General features: G+C 40.1%; 2 protein-coding genes across 21 annotated transcripts in view, besides 1 other annotated feature; one reads left to right on the plus strand and one right to left on the minus strand.

Moving 5' to 3' along the window:
• Positions 1–6,185, plus strand: part of ATIC (5-aminoimidazole-4-carboxamide ribonucleotide formyltransferase/IMP cyclohydrolase) — a 56,534-nt gene extending 50,349 nt beyond the window's left edge. For 3 of the 4 annotated variants that reach the window (XR_007075419.1, XM_047444489.1, XM_047444491.1), the window contains one exon: positions 239–6,185. Coding sequence is in view for 2 of the 4 variants with exons in the window: in XM_047444489.1 (XP_047300445.1) it covers positions 239–245 (7 nt within the window). In the remaining 2 variants the exon portion in view is untranslated. The remainder of the gene's footprint in view (positions 1–238) is intronic. The other variant, XR_007075418.1, reaches the window with a different exon arrangement.
• FN1 (fibronectin 1) overlaps positions 1–17,600 on the minus strand; it is a 75,204-nt gene that overhangs the window by 1,543 nt on the left and 56,061 nt on the right. For 4 of the 17 annotated variants that reach the window (NM_001306131.2, NM_002026.4, NM_001365521.2 and 1 more), the window contains 12 exons: positions 16,723–16,910; positions 15,768–15,855; positions 14,091–14,267; positions 13,222–13,311; positions 12,807–12,986; positions 10,915–11,004; positions 9,702–9,968; positions 9,502–9,608; positions 7,887–8,025; positions 5,456–5,620; positions 3,098–3,223; positions 2,472–2,578 (listed from right to left, as the gene is read on the minus strand). In NM_001306131.2, coding sequence (NP_001293060.2) covers positions 2,472–2,578; positions 3,098–3,223; positions 5,456–5,620; positions 7,887–8,025; positions 9,502–9,608; positions 9,702–9,968; positions 10,915–11,004; positions 12,807–12,986; positions 13,222–13,311; positions 14,091–14,267; positions 15,768–15,855; positions 16,723–16,910 — 1,724 coding nt within the window. Of the gene's footprint in view, positions 1–2,471; positions 2,579–3,097; positions 3,224–5,455; positions 5,621–7,886; positions 8,026–9,501; positions 9,969–10,914; positions 11,005–12,806; positions 12,987–13,221; positions 13,312–14,090; positions 14,268–15,767; positions 15,856–16,722; positions 16,911–17,600 lie in introns of all 17 variants that reach the window. The other 13 variants (NM_212476.3, NM_001365518.2, NM_001365517.2 and 10 more) reach the window with 4 other exon arrangements.
• Positions 12,927–14,126: an enhancer, noted in NCBI's record as "CDK7 strongly-dependent group 2 enhancer chr2:216240057-216241256 (GRCh37/hg19 assembly coordinates)". NCBI's record gives its function as "activates an origin of replication core promoter dependent on BRD2, BRD4, P300/CBP, MED14 and CDK7 cofactors, with strong dependence on CDK7, by STARR-seq in HCT116 cells {active_cell/tissue: HCT116}" and the evidence as "EXISTENCE:reporter gene assay evidence [ECO:0000049][PMID:35650434]".

The following is a 17,600-nucleotide window of genomic DNA, read 5'->3' on the forward strand; positions in this document are numbered from 1 at the left end:
AAGGTTTTCAAAGAATCCTAGCGATTTTAAAAGGGACTTGAGATCACATGAAGAAACGTTCTCATTTTATAGGTAAGGAAACAGAGACCCAGAGGAGAGGAGTGACTTGCTTAGAGGGAGCAGGGAAGTCACACAGTGGACCACTGGTGGAGTTGGGCCTGCCGCCCAGGAGGTGGGGTGACCTGGCCATGTTCTTTCTAATGCACCACTTTGCCACTCTCTTCCTAAACTTCCCTAGGCAGTGACATGGTAGCCTGTCACCTGGCCGGAGATGGCATGGGAGATGGAAACGGGACCAAGCTGAGCCAGTGAGGCTCCTGCCTGAAGTTTTTACTGGAAATGGGAGGACACACATGTTCTCTTTCACTACTGTTCTTAAGCTGGCAGGGGGTAAAGCAAGCTCATGGAGGTCAGTCATCAATGGCACCATCAGCAGAGACCCCGCTGAAGCACGAAGCCAGTGCATGGGAAGGCACGCGGAGCAAGAGGGAGTCCGGGCGCCATTGCTGGAGCAGCCCCTGAAGCCGGTGGGTCCTGGGACTGTTCCATTGTGTGGGCCATTTTTGCTTGAGTTGGACTTTTTTCTTACAACTAAAATGCAGCCCTAAATAATACAGTCACTTTCTTTTTTATATTAGAATTTAAATATTTTAGACATATTTCTCTGTTTAAGCACATATGCCCCTTAATACCTAACACAATACCAGTGACTACCTCCTTACAGAATCACTGAATCTTGCTTTCATATGAGAAAGTGAACAGTTTCCACTCCTGTCTTAAATGTTTCATTTAGCACTTGAGAATAGAATAAGTGTCGCACATGAAAGGTTTCATGTGCATAAATAATGAGAAGATGCTGAAGTGAGACCAAAATCAACTTCCCAGCAAATTCATTCTCCATCACACAATTTCATACCAGAATGACTGAGTTCTAAGGTCATACAATCACAGTCGTTGTAAGTGTTAATGGGAGAGAGAGAGAGAGAGAGACAGAGAGAGATACTGAATTCAATCTAAATTCCAATCTCCAATTCTCCTCCATCAGAATTGGGAGCACCTCCCTCCCCATGTAATCACTGGGGGTGAAACAAGATCATAGTAGTTTCCATGGGCTGCCCCTGGTGGAGCCAAGACAGGCCCCTGAACACCCCTGCTGCCAGATTAATTTTCCCAAAGACTATTTTCCATCATGTTTCTTTGCATCTTGGATACCTGTAATTGGTTAATGCATTTGGCATTAACCAATGAGTCTCACCCTTGAGTGTGAAGCATGCCCCTCACCCACCAGGATTTGGGGAGTTGCTGGGAGGGCATGTCTTCGTTGAAAACAAAGGGCTGTCACATTCCATTGCTTTTGAGTTACACATAATTTCATTTTGAAATTTGAAATCATATTAGAGAAAGGCTTATTATTTTTTGTTATACTGGGCATATTTTAGAAATGGTTGAGAAGTACTGGCTTAAATAATGGGTTGCCAAGGCCCTCCATAAGCCACTTCTTCCCATCTATTTTCTTACCAGAAGACAGCAGGCAGAGGGTTGGCTCACCAAAGCCCACCTGGGCCAGCTCCTTTCTATCCCAGGGGGTGTGTCTCTCTGCTTTCTCCCCTCCCAACTAAACCTTAGTCATCGTAAACCTCAGCCAGTTCATGCTTCTCTTTCTTGCTAATTCCAGCCTACCCAGAACTGTATTTGTCAGACCCACTTAGAACTTAATTAGCTTGACTTTGAAATGTATGCTAATTTAACATCTTCAACTATATCATTAAGAGCCAAGCCATTTCTCATTTCCTCTGTTTTTCCTATACTACTTAGCACAGTGCTAGACCTATAACAAGCATCTGTTCTGAATCAAGAGAGAGGTTAAAAGAAGTGGCATTTTCTTACATCTGAGATATTATTCAAAATATTTAACAACGTTGCCATGGGACACCTGTCCATCAGAATGGAGTTGGAGGCCTAGAGCTACACTGCACTTAACACTTTGCTGAAAAATAGAAGCAGCCTGAGAATAGTAGGGGAGGGGAGGGTCTCAGGCTGCCCAGGATGGGGAGAACCGGCTGAAATGAAACACATTCTATTTACCACTAATTAATTTGAATAGTATCTCTGCTTCACTATTTTTCAGTGTAAATAGTATCTCTGACATGCTAGGGAGCTTAGGAAAATGATTCTAACATCATATAAATGACAGGTGTTGCTATTAAGAATGACTCAAGACTTGTGTTTTTGGTACTCTACATGCCATTCATTCATTCTTTCTACTAAGAGTAATAGAAAGAATGAATGGCATGTAAGGTAGACATAGAGCTGCTCTAGAGCTCTATGTCAGCAGTTGTATGCCAACAGGAAATGTGGTATTTTAATACTTCCGAAGGGTCTCTGCCCCTCCTGTGTGTACGACACATCCTTGCAGGAGCCCACCCTTTATCTTATCTAACTTGTAGGGAGCCTGGCACATCCAGTCTTACCCGCTGGCCTCCAAAGCATGTGCAGGAGCAAATGGCACCGAGATATTCCTTCTGCCACTGTTCTCCTACGTGGTATGTCTTCCCATCATCATAACACGTTGCCTCATCTGCATATAGACACAAGACAGATGCACGCATAAGCTGAGAACAATACTGCAGACTTGATCTAGGGGTGGGTTCTATTTCTGTCCTAAATTTGTATCATCACAGCGCAAACACCACATATTTATGTGAATCATCCCTAAGAGCAGTACTGCTATACAGATCTTAGGGTGGCACTTCCAAAAATTAGACCTAATACACTGGAAAGGGTCCAACGGGAAGATGGAAATCATATTTTAAAAGTTGAATCTACAGACCAATAAAGCTTCTTTGTAGCATTTTACTGCAGATAATGGTCAAAATACTCAGGTTGGACAAGTGCTAAAGTGTCCTGTAATAACATTAAATCATGACTCATTTTTGAAGCTTGTCTCCACTTTCCCAAATCAAAAGATTAAGAAACCCACTGTTCACTCCTCAAGGAGACCTAAAGTCTCCAATCATTTCTGTGAATGAGAGTTACAGCCTGATAATGAAAGTGAGAATGCTTAATAAGGCACTAAAAATGATCTGTGATGACATACGAGGGTCACACTTGAATTCTCCTTTTCCGTTCCCAAGACATGTGCAGCTCATCATCTGGCCATTTTCTCCCTGACGGTCCCACTTCTCTCCAATCTTGTAGTTCACACCATTGTCATGGCACCATCCTGTAGGGGTGGGGAAAGTCAGGACCAAAAAGTTATTTGTATATTCTGACTCACAAGACAGTAGGTGAACTGGGACGTGTCACAGGGTCTTCAGAACCATGATCTGGAAAAATAGCAAGTTAAAGATAAAAACCCCTATAATGGGCCATTTATTTTATTTATTTATTTACTTTTTATTTTTTTTTTTTTTTTTGAGACAAAGTCTTTCTCTGTCGCCCAGACTGGAGTGAAGTGGTGCAATCTCGGCTCACTGTAACCTCCATCTCCTGGGTTCATGCAGTTATCCTGCCTCAGCCTCCTGAGTAGCTGGGATTACAGGCACTCCCCACAGTGCTATTTTTTTTTTTTTTTTTTTTTTTGTATTTTTTGTAGAGATGGGGTTTTACCATGTTGGGTAGGCTGGTCTCAAACTCGTGAGCTCAGGTGATCCACCCGCCTCAGCCTCCAAAAGTGCTGGGATTACAGGTGTGAGCCACCACACCTGGCCAATGGGCCATTTCTTTGGTTGAATTTTAAAATATTATTTTTTATCATTTACCATTTTCTAGGGCATTTTAAGACCCAATTTATTCTGCCACAATCATGTCATCAGAATAGTCAAATGAAATGACTTTCATTTGAATTCTCACTATTAAGATTTAAAATTGTGGAAAACTAAAGTGGGATTGGAGTAGACTGTTAGGAATAGATCCTAGATGAAAAATCACTTTTGGATTTGCAGAAACCCTGGATACAAAGTAGTTCAATTAACCATAAAACAAGGATCAGCTGATCTCTACACGCCACCACCTGTTTCATGTACATGGGAAGAGTAAAAAATGAACCCGGATAAAATAAAACAAAAGCAAACAAAATGCTAAATCATTGGTTATTATCCACATCAAATAAGTCTGGTTCTGTGGAATATCTAAAAGTCACAGTTTTATGCCTTTAACTACTATACATAAGGGATGACTTTTTAACCTCCAGGGCTTATACAACAAAACACACCTCAGAAGCTTATATAACAATATACTACTTTTTCCATTTTATCAACAATTCAGCCTGCCTTAAGCTACAAAGTAAAATAATTAGACAACTGTGATATCAAAACAAAGATTATGTAAGTTGAGCCAAAGAGTCACATAAATGAACTTGACATCCCCGCTCCCACAATTGCACCTAAGTGCTCAAACAGGTAATAAACATACAAACTTAAACGTAGTTCGATTTCAGGAGTTAAAAACCATCTACTTGAAGTCAAATATTAAAATTTCCAGCTCCTAAACAGCATGTGATGTTTTTAGTGTTTTTCATTTTCAGATGGTCAAACATGGAAGTCTATATTGAAAACACTGGCTGGCTTTTACAACTTCAGTCTGGATTAAATGATTTCAAGTATACAAGTTAAGTAAAATACTTTGAAAATCTCTTTTACCAAGTCTTATATTCTAATTCCACAGGATATGATTTCTGTATGTCTATAGGAGGCTTATTTATAGGCATAACGGTCAACACCTATAAAAATGAACCAATTGTCAATAATCATCACATCTCCTAAACACAAAGAATAAATGAAAGGTTTATAAATTCTAATCCTAATCTCAAAGCATAATAGATATTTCCTAGGCACATTTTAACTTAAAAAATTTGAAAATTAAAACGTATTAGAATTTGAAAATCAAACATTTATCAATTCAAGTTGATTTTTAATGATCTAAAAGCAGATTATCTGTTTTTTCTTTCATATTTCTAGCAACGTTCAAGCTACCTGGGCTATGTGTGTGACGCAAAAGTGTGTGCATGGGTACTATGATATGTGCATGTTTGGTTTATGTTGAAGGAGGCTGTTTTTGAGTCTAAATGTTCACCTCTGATCTCATTCAACACTGAAGATTAAAAGAGATTTGAGGTTTTTCTGTGTCTCTAATACTCTTAAATAGACCTGGTTCCAAAAGTCTTTATCCATTTGTTTTCACAGAAAATTTCAAAAATCAAATTAGCACCATAATCTTATGTGTAATTAATAGTTGTATTGGCATACAACCCTTGAAATGAAGCAATGTCCAACAAGTAAAATTTCCCATCATTTTTCTATGATGCAAAATATTACTTCGAGTCAAACAGTATTCTCTTGTTTGCTTCATGTTTGGAAGAACCTGTGTCTTCCAAACATGCTTCCTTGGCACATGAGTGCATGCATGGAACTTGAGGAGACAAACACGGAAGTGGATGGACAAAGCAACTACTCACTAGATGAATCACATCTGAAATGACCACTTCCAAAGCCTAAGCACTGGCACAACAGTTTAAAGCCTGATTCAGACATTCGTTCCCACTCATCTCCAACGGCATAATGGGAAACTGTGTAGGGGTCAAAGCACGAGTCATCCGTAGGTTGGTTCAAGCCTTCGTTGACTATGAAGAAAAGGAAGAAAAAGCAAAAAGAGACATCTTATTAATCGATTTGGACCATAAGAAGAAAATCGAATGACTGTATACAATGACTTAATCTAAAACAAGAATTCCAGGAGGATTAAGAGGCATTCATCTGTTCTATCAAGGCATTAACTGCTCTAAAAAACCATGGTTAGATGTGACACCTGTCACAGGCACCCGACAGGAAGCCCATCTTTTATTTTTCCCTTGCTTCTAAGATAATTGCCATTTCTGTTGAAACTACTTCATAGAACATGGAACAGATCTTGAGGCAATTGAAGCTAGTGGAGAACTTTAGTGGGATGCAAAGACTAATGATGCCTCTCCATTGGTACCTGAGTGACCTTGGGCCAGCTATTTAATACCACTCTGCCTTGCTTCCCTCATCTGCAATACTAGCGTAATAATAAAAATATCTATACCTCCTGGGGAATCTTGTGAAGATTATATAAGGCCATGAATTCAAAACATTGACCCTTTTCCAAGACTTAGAAAATGTTCACTAAATAAAGAATAATTATTAAAGGCTGTCTTTTGCTTATAATGCAAAAGTCTTAGCATTTTAATATACCATTATAATGTAATTTTCACTTTTATTATTGTAATTTTTGCATAATAGTGCAGAAAGCCTAGATTTTGGACATTGTTATTATAGTGGTGAGACAGCTTTATCAGTGAGGTCAACTGTTCCAAATAAGAAAATGCCCTTGGAATATAGATGATTTAGGAATAAGTAAGGGAGTCTCTTCATGTTACCTAAGATCTTATCTCTTTATGATTTGGAAAAGCTTATTTTAAAAAAATCTATGCAAACAAAGCATGCTTCAAATTATTCCCTAAAAATTAGATAAACTAATTTGACTTAAAATCCCACTGTGTATTTTTCTTTTTACAGTGCAAAACTCAAAAGCTCAAAAGCAGTAGATATTTGAGGTGCCTAATTTTTAAAAGGTGTCACCCTTAAAGAAAATAGCGTTTTGGAGAACTGGTAAGTCTGAGACGTCTCAAAGCTGGGAGAACCTGGTTAGAATGTAGAATACTGCTGCTGGGAATAAGGAGTTTAAAAGAAAAATGGAAGGAACTTAAATTGTTACTAGGGGTTTCTATACTCAAAAGAGCCAGGAGTTCAAATTCCATCCTAACTAAAGTTAAAGAGATGGAATCTTTAAAAAAAAAAAAAAAAAATGACTTAGAAAAGCACAAAGACCTTTTTGCTCTTGAAAATTCTGTTCACGTGGCATTCTACTAGTAAAACCACAAAAGGCAAAGATAAGCATTACTGTGGATATGTAATACAACAAACACAAAATAATCTCCTCCCAACCTCTCTCCAGCCAAATGCTCAACTGCTTAATTCACAGGAATTTATACATGTAAAGTAGCACAGTCTTCTATCAGATGAGGGAAGGGGCTAAAATTAAACAACTGGCCTTAGGAATAAAATCTGTCACTTGGCATAGACAGGACTTAGCACTCTCTGTTGGTGTGGAGTAGAGAACTCTCCTGTTGGAAGATTGGGGATTCACGGTTTTGATTATCCCCTATCTCATGTGCCTTGGTGAATTTTCAGCTGCTGCAAATTGAGCAGCCAGGTGGCACGCTATTGATTTAAAAGGATTTCCCAGGTGCTACAAAGAAGAGTTAATGATCTTTTAACCTCTATAGAAGCTTTTAACCTGTATAGTCAGAAAAAAAAATGGAAATAACATTGGAAAAAAATGGAAATAACATTGGAATAACATTCTCTGCAGACAGAAATGCACAATGTTGGTAGCATTTTATATCAGGAGCAAAAGCCAACTGTCCCCATGTCTGCAGAAGGGGTATTTTCTTTATAGGTAATCGTTTCAGTATTTAATCACTCAAGAGGACAGCAGCATGGTGAGATGGAGAGGGTCTGGGAAAAGACATCAGGAAACCTGTGCCCTATATCAACTCAGATACTCAGAAGTAAGGACTCAGAGTGTTGTACTAAATAATATTTGAAATCCCTTCCAGATCTATAATCATATCACCATTTGAGAGTCTGTCAATTACGTATGCATTTTGTGAAGACAACAGGATATGGCAGGAGGTGGGGGAGAGATTAATTTAATATAAAGTTGCTCATTTATTTCATGTTGATGTGTTGCATTAAATCCCAAAGATAAAAAGACAATGGCAACAAAGGTACAGTCAACAGAAAAGCCCATCTCTGGTGTACAGCAGAGGGGAGCCTGTGTCTAAATAGTACGTGTTTACATACCAGAGTTGCCCACGGTAACAACCTCTTCCCGAACCTTATGCCTCTGCTGGTCTTTCAGTGCCTCCACTATGACGTTGTAGGTGGCACCTCTGGTGAGGCCTGTCAGAGTGGCACTGGTAGAAGTTCCAGGAACCCTGAACTGCAATTATCGGTACATCCAAAGCAGAGAGAAAGCATTATAGTGAGGAATGACACGGGCTCTCCTCTTACCAATAACCCTCACTGTTTAAACAAAGCAAAGGAAGACAAAAAACAAAAAACAAAAAAAAAAAAAAGAGGGAGGGTATAGTGGTCCTAACCAGCTGAGGAGAGAAATGGAACAAGGATAGGGGCCATCGTTCCTGCCAGATTTTCCTGCCAACAATCTACCTACGTGCTCCGTAGTTAACAGGAGCCCTCGACAATACTAGAGACGGCCTGCCATTGATCTTGCTTCAGTCGCAGGTCTGCATAAGCCCTCTGGAAGCCCTGGCCATGTTTGCTTCACATAAAACCTGGACACTGCGCTATATGGGAGACACGGTCATGCTCCTCCAGGTGACATCTGACCCCAGTGTGGAGTCCTTAAAACAGTTGGGCAAATCCTCAAACTCATGTTTCTAAGCTCATAAATTTCCTACAGTGTTGTCAGTTTTTAAATTCTGCCACTTTCTAAAAGTAACAACACAATAAAAATTGATACTGTCAGTGGGCCGGGTGTAGTGGGTGGCTCATGCTTGTAGTCCCAGCACTTTGGGAGGCCAAGGCGGGCGGATCACGAGGTCAGGAGATCGAGACCATCCTGGCCAACATCGTGAAACCCCGTCTCTACTAAAAATACAAAAATTAGCTGGGTGCGGTGGCACATGCCTGTAATCCCAGCTATTTGGGAGGCTGAGGCAGGAGAATTGCTTGAACCTGGGAGGCAGAGGTTGCAGTGAGCCGAGATCACGCCACTGCACTCCAGCCAGGGCCATAGAGCAAGACTCCATCTCGGGGAAAAAAAAAAATGGATACTGTCAACACAAATTAAATAATATACGTTTTAGAGAATCAATCACTTATCAGCTGCTATGCACAGCTTCGCCTGTTTTTTTTTTTCTTTAGATATGTTGTAGATAGTGGGGTTCTTCAAGGACAAATCGTAAAGGTAGTGTTTTAGACTTCTGCACACAAATGGAAATTCAGGTAGAATATCTTTCTTTTCTAGAATCATCTATCTTACTCAAAAAGGAACCTCAAATGTGTGAGAATAAGAGAAATAGTTTCATTTTCTCTATGAAATAAAAGCTAGTGACTCTCTGGTATGTCCTCCAAAGTAGAGCCATATTGGGATTTAAAAAAAAAAAAAAGCAGGGCTTAAATGTGCCATCTTCTAAGAGGTTCTAAAAGTGGAGCCACTTTTTTTTTTTTTTTTTTTTCAAGAGACGAGGTTTCACCATGTTGGCCAGGCTGGTCTTGAACTCCTAACCTCAAATGATCCACCTGCCTCGGCCTCCCAAAGTGCTGGGATTACAGGCGTGAGCCATCACACCCGGCCATGAAGCCACTTTTTATTCGAGGGCTGGTCACTTCAGTTACCTAACTTATTCCTTTCTGTGCTGCCCCATGAGAAGTGAAGAGAACAATTAATTACCTGTAAGGGTTCTTCATCAGTGCCAACAGGATGACATGAAATGATGTACTCAGAAGTGTCCTGGAATGGGGCCCATGAGATGGTTGTCTGAGAGAGAGCTTCTTGTCCTGTAGAGGCATTTGGATTGAGTCCCGGACCGTGTGGGTACAGGTGATAGTCTACATCTTCCCTGGGGATGTGACCAATTTGGATTTCCTCACCTACATTCGGCGGGTATGGTCTTGGCCTATGCCTTATGGGGGTGGCCGTTGTGGGCGGTGTGGTCCGCCTAAAACCATGTTCCTCAAAGATCATTTGTTGCCCAACACTGGGTTGCTGACCAGAAGTGCCAGGAAGCTGAATACCATTTCCAGTGTCATACCCAGGGTGGGTGACGAAAGGGGTCTTTTGAACTGTGGAAGGAACATCCAAGATCTCTGGTCCATGAAGATTGGGGTGTGGAAGGGTTACCAGTTGGGGAAGCTCGTCTAGCCGAGAGAGGTTAGAGCCAAAAAAGCAAAGCGCATTAAGCTCCAGGAAGTAGCAGCAATGATAATAATCGATTCAGGCAACAATGACTGTTCATCAATTTGATAAAAGCCACCAGAAAATGAGCAGTTCTGAGATCACAAAACACTTTTTCCAGAAAGAAATCTTTAGGATTTTTCTCAAAGGTTTCTTTATAGTTTAGAAAGAAAAAAGTGTTAGTATGAATTTATCATACACACAGCTTTAAACCGCTGAGCCCCGTAGAAGCTGCCTCTGCTCAAATTAGACCTAATGGAACTGAAATGTGCAGTCTTTCTCTTTCTCTCTTTCTTTTTTAAATTTGAGAAGCAAGTTGTAGGAAGTAGAATCCAGACTAATCATATCAGTGTCATAAGTATGAGAATTACAGAGGTTTGGCTCAACAGTTTTTCATGGTTTGAAATGGTAAAAATAGATAAAACACACATGTTCATTTTTGAAATTTTCCTATATCAGGAATACACATTTTCTTGAAATTAACTGAAACTGGATGCAAAAGTAAGACATTATTTAGCTCTAAGTTGTAGAAACCAAATAAAGATAAATGTGAGAGGTTTCTCTCCCTCCTTTAAAAAAGGAAACATTTTAAAATTCAACAGAAGGTATAAAAGAAGAGCAATGATAGCTCTTCTTTTACATTTTAACATCTTGTTTGAATTTTTAAAAGGTGAATAACAAGGCTTTATATTGAGTGGCTGTAGTAAAGAAAAAAAATAAAACCAAACTCTGCAGTGCATGTTAAATTATTTCTCCTATTAAAGAATACAATATATACACTATGCTGTTAGATAAAAAAAATCACAAGAAATGCATCAAAACATGGAGAACCTTTTCATATTGCAAGATTGCTCATTTGTTATTAGTTTTGTCCTATCTTTCTCCTTGTTACCTGCAAGATACTCTTACCTGTCTTTTTCCTTCCAATCAGGGGCTCGCTCTTCTGATTATTCTTCAGGGCAATGACATAAATTGTATATTCGGTTCCCGGTTCCAGGCCTGAAGGGAGAATAGAACCATCACATTATGTCAATGGGCTCAGCTAGTCAAGTGGAAGTCGGTCTCACCAGCAGACGCTACTGGGAGCAGGCACTTCCTCTCCAGCTGGCTGTTGGCCTCTTGAAGGTAAAATCGACTTCACTTTTCCTCCATAAACACCCAAATATCCTGCATATAAAGTCCGCATCGCAAACTAATTATCTTACTATCATATCTGACGCCTGAATAGACATTTTTTGGCTAACTTTTCCAGGGTATTCTTTTTTTTTTTTTTTTTTTTTTTTTTGAGATGGAGTCTGGCTCTGTCACCCAGGCTGGAGTGCAGTGGTGCTATCTCGGCTCACTGCAAGCTCCGCTTCCCAGGTTCAGCCATTCTCCTGCCTCAGCCACCCGAGTAGCTGGGACTACAGGCACCCATCACCACGCCTGGCTAATTTTGTTTTTGTATTTTTAGTAGAGATGGGGTTTCACCGTGTTAGCCAGGATGGTCTCGATCTCCTGACCTTGTGATCTGCCTGCCTCGGCCTCCCAAAGTGCTGGGATTACAGGCGTGAGCCACCGCGCCTGGCCTTTCCAGGGTATTCTTTTAACGTGGTCTTATTTGCCTTTTTGAATTTAAGAAAATCTATCAGCATCATATACCACCACTGGAATATAAATTTGAAAGAGAGTCCTGCAGATTATATACATGAATCTACTTAGGCCTAATAACCAAGCAGTCCTCAGTGGCAGATCAATGAAAAGTGAAACTAAAGGCAAGTGAAGGGTAGGAGAGATTGGCCAGTGTTTGTGCAGCCTCTGTGGGAAGTGTCTAGTTCAATTCCTCTCATGTCTGCTTCTATTTTCCTGTTCCCCCCAATTCTAAAAAGCCAGTGTCTCCTTCTAATGTCTGTATGTTCTGTGGGAATTTTAAAGTCCAGGTGATACTCTATACAGACTGATATGGTTTGGCTCTGTGTCTGCATCCAAATCTCATCTGGAATTGTAATCCCCATGTATTGAGGAGAGGAGGTGATTGGATCATGGGGTGGTTCCCCCAGGCTGTTCTCATGATAGTGAGTTCTCACAAGATCTGATAGTTTTGTAAGTATCTGGAAGTTCCTCCTGTGTGCTTCTCTCTCCTGCTGCCATGTAAGACATGCCTGCTTTTCCTTCCACCATGATTGTACATTTTCTGAGGCCTCCCCAGCCATGCGGAACTGTGAGTCAATTAAACCTCTTTATAGCAGTATGAAAACAGACTAATACAGATAGTTTAAATATTTCATCTCTTGGGCAAAAATAATACTAGAGGCTTATAGTCTTTCCCACCAAGGTAGACAACTCTTATTCCCCATTCCAGGCATTCTTCCAATGTGGGTGGTTGGGACTGCTCTGCCTCAAGACCTATCCTGTGATAGTGGTCAACAAGGTCAATGGCAGGTGGTGCACTGGCAAGTCCTGCAAGATTGCCATATCTATAGAGAGCTGAGTGTAATGACAGAATCACAATCAGCTAGTATGCTTTGAAAAATATCTTTCTCCAGGACTGAATTGACAGGTATCTGGCAAACTTGCAGCGAAAGGAAAACATGAGTCTAGTCATGCCATTAGTACAGTCTTGAAATTGCATTTTCCTTCACTCATGCCTTTTGGGATGTATTAGGCTCTACCACTCCTACACAGAGAATGCTTTTTGAGGTTATCAGGAACAGAGTTTCGCATTCTCATGACACAGTATCAAAGACGCTGTGGGAGTTTGCTAAGGACTTCATGTGTCCTAGGTAGTAAGAAGGAAAATGACAGCATGGAAGCAGCAATACCAGTAATAGTAGCCTCTGTGACACCAGGGCGGGGCCGAGGGACCACTTCTCTGGGAGGAGACCCAGGCTTCTCATACTTGATGATGTAGCCGGTAATCCTGGCACGTGGCGGCTGCCATGATACCAGCAAGGAATTGGGTGTGGTGGCCAGGAAACGCAGGTTGGATGGTGCATCAATGGCTGAAAGAAAACAAAATTAAGTCTCTAAGAAGGCAAATAACCAAGAAAATTACTCCCACACTTTTCTCCCGAGCCGTTCTAAACACACTTAAAAGAATCTGAGAATACTGTAAACCGGAAACAAGATTCTCTGGAATCTATAATACAAAAATATACGCCTCACATTTGTTTTTTGAGTTCATGAAACTGATTGCATACAAGTCAATGGCATTTCCTCAGTAGAAGGTATAGTTACCAGTGGAGGCGTCGATGACCACAGGGGAGCTCCGAGCATTGTCATTCAAGGTGTACAGGTAGATCTTGTAGTCAGTGCCTGGTTGTAAACCTGGGATTTGAGAAGAGATGATTTTTAACAGTTCTTGCTTTTTACTAGGAGAATTCTCAAGCTAGCCTGCAATTTTTCTGGGTTCTTCTATCATCCCATATTTATATAGACTACCAAAGTGGTCCACATTTGAACAGTAAAGTAGAGCATGCTATGGATGTTAACTGTTAACAAGAAACATATCTCGAAAGTGAATCACTGATACAGACAAGGACACTGGTAAAGTAAATTCTGGAATGCAAAAATGCTATGTTGGAAGAGGCCCTCTTGCAGAATGGGGGTCAGCCACTTATTGAGGTTTTCTCTTTACCGTAATCAGATGGTCAATAGTTGAGCCTTGGAATCACAATTTTAAAAAGCTAAAAAAGACCTCAGATATTGAATATTCTTCGGTTACAATTTTGGCCTTTATTAAGTGGTATTGTTTACTTTTATATTAACTATGCTTTTTAATGCTAAGATCTATACATCACTGTTTTTTATTTCTTTTAGTTTTAAACCTTATGTTACAATTTTTTAAATAAGAAAGGGCACAATGATGGAAGATCAAACTTGTTGATTGACACTTACGCAATTTCCATGACAAATATTACACAAAATCAGGCATTCAAAGGACAAAACTATTTCTGATCATAGCATGAAAATAACGTTCTAAAACTGGGTTATGATGATAACACTGAAAATAAATTTTATCAGTGTCAGTCGTAGAACAGTTAATAAGCCCGTTTACATTGTGGGTATTTGTTAACAAATGTGGTTAGTGCAATGAGTTCCCTGACCTGTGATGGTGTAGCTTCTGACATCTGGCTTGATGGTTCTCTGGATTGGAGTCTGGCCATTGGCTGGAACGGCATCAACTTGGAAGCCAGTGATCGTCTCAGTCTTGGTTCTCCAGCTAATGGTGATGGTGGTCTCAGTAGCATCTGTCACACGAGCCCTTCTTGGTGGGCTGACATCTGCACAGGAGCATAGCTAGAGATTAGTGCCTGCTTGGCTCATCCATGTAAAGTTTTGGTATTTTAAAACGTTTCCTTGGTATATATCAAATTCATCCATTTCAAGAAATATATAACTAGTAATGTGTAGATTATCTCCTTTGGCATTCAGAGAGAAAGGTCAACTGTAATTAGAAAATAGGAAAATATCTACCTCTCAGACATTTTATTTTGAAGAGCTGAAAAGCTTTATAGATACTACCAGTGGTTCCCAGGGCTGGCTTTATAGTATCTACAAATACTTCAATAAATATTAAAATTATTAATGTATTATAATGTAAAAATATGTGTGGTAGGAGTTACAATAACATGGCCAGCTAACAATTTTGTGTGTGTGTGTGTGTATGTGTGTGTGAGAGAGAGAGAGAGTGTGTGTGTGTGTGTGTGTGTGTGTGTGTCTAATATTACGGCAAGTATTTTGTATTTTCTCTCAACAGGTACAATGCCATCCCTCTTTTATAAATGATAAAACTTTGACACTTTACCTGACTTTTGAAAAGGCATACATCAAGGTATTGATATAACAGAAGACTAGAATCTAAGCCTGATTTGGTCCAATGGTTACTGTGCTGTGATATAATTTGGATATTTGTCCCTGTCCAAATCTCTGTTGAGTTGTAATCTCCAATGCTGGAGGTGGGGCCTGGTGAGAGGTGTTTGGATCATGGGGGCAGATCCCTTGTGGCTTGGTGCCCTCTTTATGACAGTGAGTTCTCAAGAGACTGGGTCATTTAAATGTATAAGGTCCTCCCCCCCCAACTCTCTCTCTCTCTCGGTCTTGCTTTTGCCACAGCCATGTGATGTGCCTGCTCCCCCTTGGCCTTCCACCATGAGTAAGCTTCCCAAGGCCTCCCTAGAAGCCAAGAAGATACCAGCACCATGCTTCCTGTAAAGCCTGCTGGCCTGTGGGCCAATTAAGCCTCTTTTCTTTAGAAATTACCCAGTCTCCGGTATTTCTTTATAGTAATGCAAGAATGGCCTAATATGCATTGTTAAGATATAGCAGAAGCCAGTGGGGTCTCCCCAAGCTTAGCTCTATGAAAACAAATTCTAACAAGTAGAGCATAAACTAGATGTCAGTCATAGTCCATAATATCAACATTATAAGCTTATGAAGTGATTCCATTTTATGGGTCAGTAGACCCCTTTCTGAAGGAGTATAAAAGATGACAGTCATGCGTCAAAAAGGCAATCAAATTGATTTTCAAATTAGGACTCATTCCACTGTTAACATATAAATCTAAAAAATTATTTATTTTATTTATTTTATTTTTTTTAAGAGACAGGGCCTTGCTATTTGCCCGGGTAGGTCTCAAACTCCTGGCCTCAAGTGACGCTCCCGCCTCAGCTTCCCAAAGTGCTTGGATTTTAGACATGAGCCACTGAACCCCACTGATTTACCATTCTTTAATTTTTGTCTATACAGAAGGTTTGTCCATATGAAGACATTTTGTTACTTACTCTCCAGAGTGGTGACAACTCCCTGAGCTGGTCTGCTTGTCAAAGTGTCCTTAAGAGCATAGACACTCACTTCATATTTGGTGGCCACCTAGAGAAATAAGGGCATGGTGAGCTTTAGCAACGTCCTCAACTGAAACCCAAGGAGTTTCACTACAGCATTAGGTAAATGCAATGGTTAGAAAATAAAAAATAAACAAACCAGCAAAACCCACAACCTTGAAAATTCCTAGATTAATTTCATTCCTACAGTGCAGGTGATAAATGTATTTATCAATTTTAAAATGCTCTTAGCGGTTAAGCTTAAGTAAGCCATAGATTATATACTTAAACTAAGCTGGTAAAAAAAATGAGAAAAGTGGGTATTAGCGTATTTTTCTTTTTTATGATCTGACAGGTGTAAATCATAATTTTTTCCTTATCATAGAGAGGCAAAGAGAATGTTCCATTTTGTCTCTGAACCCTCTTTCTGTAGTTTCCCCTGAAATTGGCCTTATGTTAAGAGGTACATCAGTCCCCTAGGTTCCTAGCAGTTTTCTGCATGTATGTCTGGAAGGATTTTAAAATGTTTTAATGAGGGTAGGCTCAAGGTAGACTGGTACAAACTGTAAAATATTCTTTACCAAGGTAACAGAGCTCAGAAAATGCATAACTAAGTCGATTTATGCATTCAACCAATGGATATGTAAATTGCCCCCCACAACCTTTTAAAATAAGCACAATACATCTAAAAGAGCTGCACAAAATCCAAAGCTATTTATAAAATTCTGTCCCAATAGTCATCTGGAAAACTTAGGTCAACATAAAGGAATTCCGTTGATATAAAATTACAATAAGATTATTTGATGCAGAGGAAAAGAACAGTTAGATTTATTATGATATTATATTTTCACCACCTTAGAAACTGTGTTAGAGATGATCTCCATCTTTATTCCAATGAACAACGGTCATGTCTTACCATAAGTCCTGATACAACCACGGATGAGCTGTCAGGAGCAAGGTTGATTTCTTTCATTGGTCCGGTCTTCTCCTTGGGGGTCACCCGCACTCGATATCCAGTGAGCTGAACATTGGGTGGTGTCCACTGGGCGCTCAGGCTTGTGGGTGTGACCTGAGTGAACTTCAGGTCAGTTGGTGCAGGAATAGCTGTCGAGATTGTCATTGGTTAGAGGTTATCTTATAGGAAATGGGGGAAAAGGAAAATAAAGTGAGTTCCAAGAAGTAGAATGGATTGTTCTTGTTGGGCTAGGTGGGTTCCCTGGTCAAGCAAAGATTCAGTACAAGAAAGTACGTACAGTAAGGGATGCAAAATGAAGAAAGTGTTTGCTGAGAAATGTGTTTTATATCCACCAATTCTCAGAATCACTGAAAACATTTGGGTAAATGCCAAAACTCTAAGAGATTTTAGGTTTTACAAGTTTTGCTTTCCCTTAAAAAAAAAAGTTACATTGGCTTATTGGCCATTATGATTTATTTTACTTTTGTATGGAAAAATAAGCAATGGCCCTTTTTCTTTCTTAAAATTGTTAATTAATTAATTTAGAAACGGTCTCTCTGTGTCATCCAGGCGGCAGTGCAGTGGAGTTATCATAGCTCACTGCAGCCTTGAACTCGTAGGCTCAAGTGATCCTCTACCTCAGCCTCTTGAGTAGCTGGGACTACAGGCATGTGTCACCACACCTCGCTAATTTTTTCATATTTTTTTGTAGAGACGGGGTCTCACTTCATTGCCCAGGCTGATCATGAACTCCTGGCCTCAATCAGTGCTCCCGGCTTAGCCTCCCAAAGCACTAGGATTACATGTGTGAGCCACTGCACCCGGCCTCCTTTTTCTAT

Source organism: Homo sapiens, chromosome 2 (assembly GCF_000001405.40).
Source record: "Homo sapiens chromosome 2, GRCh38.p14 Primary Assembly".
NCBI lineage: Eukaryota > Metazoa > Chordata > Mammalia > Primates > Hominidae > Homo > Homo sapiens.